General features: G+C 48.9%; 2 annotated features.

Annotated features, from left to right (window-relative positions):
• Positions 7,288 to 7,357: an enhancer, noted in NCBI's record as "active region_19108". NCBI's record gives its function as "activates an Ori minimal core promoter by ATAC-STARR-seq in GM12878 lymphoblastoid cells {active_cell/tissue: GM12878}" and the evidence as "EXISTENCE:reporter gene assay evidence [ECO:0000049][PMID:35858748]".
• Positions 7,368 to 7,497: an enhancer, noted in NCBI's record as "active region_19107". NCBI's record gives its function as "activates an Ori minimal core promoter by ATAC-STARR-seq in GM12878 lymphoblastoid cells {active_cell/tissue: GM12878}" and the evidence as "EXISTENCE:reporter gene assay evidence [ECO:0000049][PMID:35858748]".

The following is a 7,594-nucleotide window of genomic DNA, read 5'->3' as shown; positions in this document are numbered from 1 at the left end:
GCCCCGTCGCTCTCCGCGAGAGCACTCATTGGTCGCCTCCCTGAGCCGCGGGCCAATCACGCTGCAGGAAGGAGGAAAAGCCGGTTCCGTGCCTGCTCCCGCCATTCTCTCCCTGTGGGCGGGGAAGCCGCGGGCGGTTATGGGAATTGTAGTTCGCATGTGTGCAGGGTGAGTCGTTACCATAGCGACGTGGAAACCAGGGGCGCTGGAAACCTGGTGCGCCTCACGCCGAGTGTTCCAATTACGCCAACCTCTTGACTTCACTGGATGTTATTCTTCCCTAAACGGTTATTGAGCACCTATGATAGTCACTGTTCCAGACTCCAGGAATAACCTCGTACTCTCCCGGGTTAGATATTTAAGGTGCCCTTTTGCTGGGATGCATAGCAGAGGGACTCATTTCCAACTCAGGCAGAAACTGGACTACTCCAGATTAAAAAGAAAAAAAAAAGGAAGAAACTGGAATACTCTGTGTGTGTGTGTGTGTGTGTGTGTGTGTGTGTGTGTGTGTGTGTGTGTGTTTTCTTGAGACGAAGTCTTGCCCTGTCGCCCAGGCTGGAGTGCCGTGGCGCGATCTCGGTTCACTGCAACCTACGCCTGCCAGGTTCAAGCGATTCTCCTGCCTCAGCCTCCCAAGTAACTGGGACTACAGGCGCCCACCACCAAGCCCGGCTAATTTTTGTATTTTTTAGTAGAGACGGGGTTTCACCAGGCTGGTCTTGAACTCCTGACCTCGGGATCCACCCGCCTCGGCCTCCCAAAGTGCTGGGATTACAGGCGTGAACCACCGCGCCCGGCTGAAACTGGAATATTCTTTTTCTCAATACTGTAAATGTCCAGCCTGCTCAAAATCTTACAACATTCCTCCTTCACCACTCTCTCCTGGGTAAAAACCTCGAATCTGAGGCTCTCTGCCTCATCCCGTTAGGGTTTCCCACAACCTCCTTAGACACCCTGAGTTCTAGGTGCTGTTGTGGAGCTTTGCAAACATCTTTTCAAACCCTTAGACATCCTATCACCGTTTGAAAGAAGAGGAAGTGGTGGCTCTTCACCACTTCAGGTTTAGGCACTTTCCAAGATCACACAGGATTGGGATTCCAAATTTAGTACAGATTCCTTCCCTATGCCATGCCGTGTCCCAGTGAATTAATTGAGACTCTAAATGCAATATGTGGAGGCTGAATACATATAAAATATATGCCTAAATTTGAAGTCCGCCGTGGAGATGTCAAACTCTTCCTAGAGGTCTTTCTTTCCTTCAACCCCTTCCACCCTAAACCCCTGTATCCATGCTGTCAACGTGTTGGTTTTTCTACCTCCAAAATATATCCTGTATTTCCTCCACCACTACCACTCTAATACAAGCCACCGGCCCATTGCAGCAGCCCTTCAACTGGTCACCCTTTCTTTCTTTCTTTTATTGATTGATTGATTGATTGAGATGGAGTCTCCCCTGTCGCCCAGGCTGGAATGCAGTGGGATCTCCACTCACTGCAACCTCCACCTCCTGTGGTCACCCTTTTTAAATCTTCACCTTTAATACACACAGGTGATCTTTAAAACTCATTGACCTGGCCGGGTGCAGTGGATCACGCCTGTAATCCCAGCACTTTGGGAGGCCAAGATGGACAGATCACAAGGTCAGGAGATCGAGACCAGCCTGGCCAAGATGATGAAACCCTATCTCTACTAAAAATACAACTATTAGCTGGGTGTGATGACGGGTGCCTGTAATCCCAGCTACTTGGGAGGCTAAGGCAGGAGAATCGCTTGAACAAGGGAGTCAGAGGTTGCAGTGAGCCGAGATTGCACCACTACACTCCAGCCTGGGCAACAGAGCAAGACTCCATCTCAAAAAATAAAAATAAAAATAAATGTTCTGGAATAAGATAGTGGTGAAAAAAAAAGAAAAAGACAGGTTGGTTCAGCAAGTGCAAAGGCCACATTGGTGGAACAGCAAGTGCAAAGGTCCTGGGGCCAACTCAAGCTTGGTATGCAATAAACAGAAAGACAGAGAGAGTAGATGGATATAGCAAAACATGGAGAGGGTGATACAAGATGAGGTTTGAGAGAAAGCTGAGACCAGGTCATTCAGGGTCTTGTGGAGTGCTTGGATTTTATTCTGTGCAAGGGAACGGCATTAGAGTTTTTTTGTTTGTTTGTTTTTGAGACAGAGTTTCACTCTTGTTGCCCAGGCTTGAGTGCAATGGCGCGATCTCGGCTCATCACAACCTCTGCCTCCCAGGTTCAGGCAATTCTCCTGCCTCAGCCTCCCAAGTAGCTAGGATTACAGGCATGCACCACCACACCTGGCTAATTTTTTTTTTTTTTTTTTGTATTTTTAGTAGAGATGGGGTTTCTCCATGTTGGTCAGGCTGGTCTCGAACTCCCGACCTCAGGTGATTCGCCCACCTGGGCAAATGGTCTTGATCGCCTGACCTCGTGATCCGCCTGCCTTGGCCTCCCAAAGTGCTGGGATCACAGGCCTGAGCCACTGTGCCCAGCTAAAAATTTTTTAAAATTAGCTAAGTGTAGTGGCATGTACCTGTGGTCCCAGATACTCTGGAGGCTGAGGAGGGAGGATTGCTTGAGCCCAGGAGGTTGAGGCTACAGTGAACCATGTTCATGCCACTGCACTCTACCCTGGTGACAGAGAAAAAAAAAAGTTGTCTGGCTGGGCATGGTGGCTCACACCTGTAATCCCAGCACTTTGGGACGCTGAGGCAGGTGGATAACTTGATATCAGGAGTTCTGCCAGACGCGGTGGCTCACGCCTGTAATCCCAGGACTTTGGGAGGCCAAGGTGGGCGGATCACCTGAGGTCAGGAGTTCAAGACCAGCCTGGCCGACATGGTGAAACCCCATCTTTACTAAAAATACAAAAATTAGCCGGGCTTGGTGAGGCATGCCTGTAATCCCAGCAACTCCGGAGGCTGAGGCAGGAGAATCGCTTGAACCTAGGAGGCGGAAGTTGCAGTGAGCTGAGATCGCGCCATTGCACTCCAGCTTGGAAAAAAAACAAAAAAGGAATTCTAGACCACCCTGGCCAACATGGTGAAAACCCTGTGTCAATTAAAAAAAATTACAAAATATTAGCCTGGTGTGGTGGCACAAGCGTATAGTCCCAGCTACTTGGGAGGCTGAGGTGGGTGGATCACTTGAGGTCAGGAGTTTGAGACCAGCCTAGCTAACATGGTGAAACCCCATCTCTACTAAAAATAGAAAAATATTGGCCGGGCACAGTGGCTCATGCCTGTAATCCAAGGACTTTGGAAGGCTGAGGCAGGTGGATCACCTGAGGTCAGGAGTTCGAGACCAGCCTGACCAATATGGTGAAACCCCATCTGTGCTAAAACTACAAAAATTAGCCGGGTGTGGTGACATGCGCCTGTAGTCTCAGCTACTCGGGAGGCTGAGACCGGAGAATTGCTTGAATCAGGGCGGTGGAGGATGCAGTGAGCCGAGATTATGCCACTGTACTCCAGCCTGGGCGACAGAGCAAGATTTTCTCTCAAAAAACAAACAAACAAACAAAAACCAACAACAACAAAAAAGTTGTCTGGGTGGAATAGCACAATGGCAGGGCATAGAGCAGAAGAGGTGAGTTTAAGGGATTTATGTACATAGTTTGGAACAGAAGAGCACGTTTGTGTTGCTATTGGGAGTGATCTAGTAGAGAGAGACAGATCAATGATCCCAGACAGAGGGACAGTGATGCACAGAGGGAGGGCCTTAAAAGAGAGGAGCGTATTAGGTCCACATGTAGAGGGATGAATTAGTCCAGCCAAAAAGGGTACCTTTGCTGCAGGATGAAACCCCTGCCCAGGAGCTCCATAGCAGAAGGAACTGCCACACTGTTACTGTTCTGGGGCGGCCACTATTGCTTAGCAACCTGTGCTTAATAAGATGTTTCAACTGAATTCCTAATAAACGGCCATTTCAACTTACGCCAACGGTTCCTGTCACTGGTGTTCCTGCTCTGCTTATCTCATACGCTGAAACTGGATGCTCAGGTTTTTACTTCCTTGTACTGTTGATGTATGCATTTTTTGCTTTTGTTTTTTTTTTTTCTGGAGACGGAGTTTCGCTCTTGTTGCCCAAGCTAGAGTGCAATGGCGTGATCTCAGCTCACTGCAACGTCTGCTTCCTGGGTTCAAGCGATTCTCCTGCCTCAGCCTCCCGAGTAGCTGGGATTACAGGCATGCGCCACCATGCTAGGCTAATTTTTGTATTTAGTAGAGACGGGGTTTCACCATGTTGGTCAGGCTGGTCTCGAACTCCTGACCTCAGTTAATCCACCAACGTCAGTCTCCCTAAAGAGCTGGGATTACAGGTGTGAGCCACCGTGACTGGCCTAATTTTGTATTTTTAGTAGAGACAAGGTTTCTCCGTGTTGGTCAGGCTGGTCTCGAACTCCCAACCTCAGGTGATCTGCCCGCCTCGGCCTCCCAAAGTGCTGGGATTAGGATTACAGGCGTGAGCCACTGCGCCTGGCTTTTTTTTTTTTTTTTTAAAATAGAGTCTCAGCCCAGCACGGTGCCTCACGCCTGTAATCCCAGCACTTTGGGAGACCGAGGCAGGTGGGTCATGAGGTCAGGAGTTCAAGACCAGCCTGGCCAAGATGGTGAAACACCGTCTCTACTAAAAATACAAAAATTAGCTGGGTATGTTGGTGGGTGCCTGTAACCCCAGCTGCTCAGGAGGCTGAGGCAGAGAATTGCTTGAACCCAGGAGGTGGAGGTTGCAGTGAGCCGAGATCATGCCACTGCACTCCAGCTTGGACGACAGAGTGAGACTCCGTCTCAAAAAAAAAAAAAAAAAAGAAAGAAAGAAAGAAAAGAAACAGAGTCAAGCTCTGTCATCCAGGCTGGAGTGCAGTGACACAATCTCAGCTCACTGCAACCTCCGCCTCTGAGGTTCAAGCGATTCTCCTGCCTCAGTCTCCGGAGTAGCTGGGACTATGGGTACGTGCCACCATGCTGGGCTAATGTTTTGTACTTTTTTTAGTAGAGGCAGGGTTTCGCCATGTTGGACAGGGTGGTCTAGAACCCCTGACCTCAAGTGATCCACTTGTCTTGGCCTCCCAAAGTGCTGGGATTACAGGTGTGTCCACCACATCCAGCCACAAGAAACATCTTTTTTTCTTTTCCTTTTTTTTTTTTTTTTTTGAGGTAGGGTCTTGCTCTGTCACCACCCAGGCTGGAGTGCAGTGGTACAATCACAGCTCACTGCAGCCCCAACCTCCCAGGGTCAAGTAATCCTCCCATCTCAGCCTCCTGAGTAGTGGGGACCACAGGTGTGCGCCTCCAGGCATGGCTATTTTTTGTATTTTTTGTAGAGAGGGGGTTTCTCCATGTTGCCCAAGCTGGTCTTGAACTCCTGGACTCAAGCAATCCACCCACCTTGTCCTCCCAAAGTGCTGGGATTACAGGCACAAGTCACTGCACCTGGCCCCCTTGCTTCTTCTCTTGATCCACCTCCAGTTCATTCTTCGCACAGACACTAAATGTAATACAGACATCAAATCAATTTACTCGCCTGCTTAAAACCTTCAAAGGTTTTCCATTGTGCTCTCCTGCTAACTGGAACTTTTCTCCACCTCAGTCTCTATATTCTGGGTCTCTGCCTGAAATGCTCTTCCCCCACAATTCCCTTCCCAGAAATAGCTCCTTCTTATCCTGCAAGTAAAGGTATGTTCCCTACCTAGCAGGCCTTTCCCCCCTTGCCTAGGCTCCATCACAACACCTGCTAAATTCCTCCTCAGTTGGAATTAGATGTTTGATAAGTCTTCACTGTCTCCCTGCAGGAGGTAGGAAGCTCTGTGAGGACAGAAATTCACCTGTGTTTTCCCAGAGTCCAGCACCGGGCCTGGTGCACGGTAGGCACTAAATAAATATTTGATGAGGCCAGGCGCAGTGGCTCACACCTGTAATCCCAGCACTTTGGGAGGCCGAGGCGGGCAGATCACCTGAGGTCAGGAGTTCGAGACTTGCCTGGCTAACATGGTGAAACGCCGTCTCTACTAAAAATACAAAAATTAGCTGGGCGTGGCAGCAGGCACCTATAATTCCAGCTACTTGGGAGGCTGAGACAGGAGAATCGCTTGAACCCAGGAGGCACAGGTCGCAGTGAGCTGAGATTGCGCCACTGCACTCCAGCCTGGGCAAGAAAGAGCGAAACTCCGTCTCAAATAAATAAATAGATAAATATTTGATGAATAAGATGATTTGTCACTAGCAGATTCTCTGTGAAATGTATGGCTGTGCCCCTAAAGTATTAATAAAAGATTAAGCAACTAATAAAGGTTATTTTTCTCAACCGGTTGCTACCATCCCAGTGTCTAATAGGATGATCATAACTACCATATACTGTGCCCAGTACTGCACACTTATTATTTATTTTATTTATTTATTTTTGAAACTGACTGTCGCCCAAGCTAGAGTGCAGTGGCATGATCTTGGCTCACTGAAACCTCTGCTTCCCAAGTTCAAGCGATTCTCCTCCCTCAGCCTCCCGAGTAGCTGGGACTACAGACGTGCACCACCATGCCAGGCTAATTGCTGCATTTTTATTAGAGACAGGGTTTCACCATGTTGGCCAGGCTGGTCTTGAACTCCTGACCTAGTGATCCACCTGCCTCGACCTCCCAAAGTGCTGGGATTACAGGCGTGAGCCACCGCGCCCGGCAGTTTTTGCATTTTAATACATAGCACTACCAACCATTCAGTGATTTCCTCTTGATTTCTCCCTCTCCATCCCTTATTGTTCAATCCATCAGCAAATCCCGTTTATTCTCCAAAAGCTACCTCAAATATTTTTTACTTCTATTTATTTTTTTGAGACTGGGTCTCCCTCTGTCGCCCAGGCTAGAGTGCAGTGGCACGATCACGACTCACTGCAGCCTCCACCTCCTGGTGGAGCCTCACACGTCAGCCAACCCCCAAACCCCGCCCCAGTAGCTGGGACTACAGGAGTGACAATCACACGGATAATTAAAAAAAAAAAAAAAACTTTTTTTTTTTTTTTTTGTAGAGACAGGGTCTCATTATGTTGCCCAGGCTGGAATTTTTACTTCTTTTTATCCCTACTGCCATCACTTAAATCCAGACCACCATCATATCAACACCCTGGATCCCACTGAAGCTCCTAGCTGGGTTCTCCTCTTACCCTATCCTATTATTTTTCTACGTAGCAATCTTTTTAAAACTGTACATTGGATGGACTAACTCCCTTGTGTCACTGATTTGCAGGACGAGGGCTTTTACCCATATGAGCCACTTCTGTTTCCTCTTCCCCTGGTTGTTTTATAAGACTCCTGGGGAGGGGGCGGGTGACCCAAGTAGAAGTGAGAGAGTTAGAGAAAGGCCAGGATAAGAAAGTTATTCATTCAAATAATGTACCGCGTGCCCCTGTGCTCTGCGCACTGTGGGTACAGCAGTGAAATCAAGGACCGCACAGTTCGGGCGCTACGAGAGCTGCCGTTCCAATTCCATCCGAAGGAAGGGAGACAACGCTTTCCCGCGCGGACGAGCGGCCAGGCGCGGCGCTAACTGCTTGGACGCCCCGCCTGCCACCGTGCCTCAGCTCGCCTCTT

The sequence above is a fragment of the Homo sapiens genome, chromosome 22 (assembly GCF_000001405.40).
Source record: "Homo sapiens chromosome 22, GRCh38.p14 Primary Assembly".
NCBI classification, from domain to species: Eukaryota; Metazoa; Chordata; class Mammalia; order Primates; family Hominidae; genus Homo; species Homo sapiens.
This window is presented reverse-complemented; position numbering and strand designations above follow the sequence as displayed.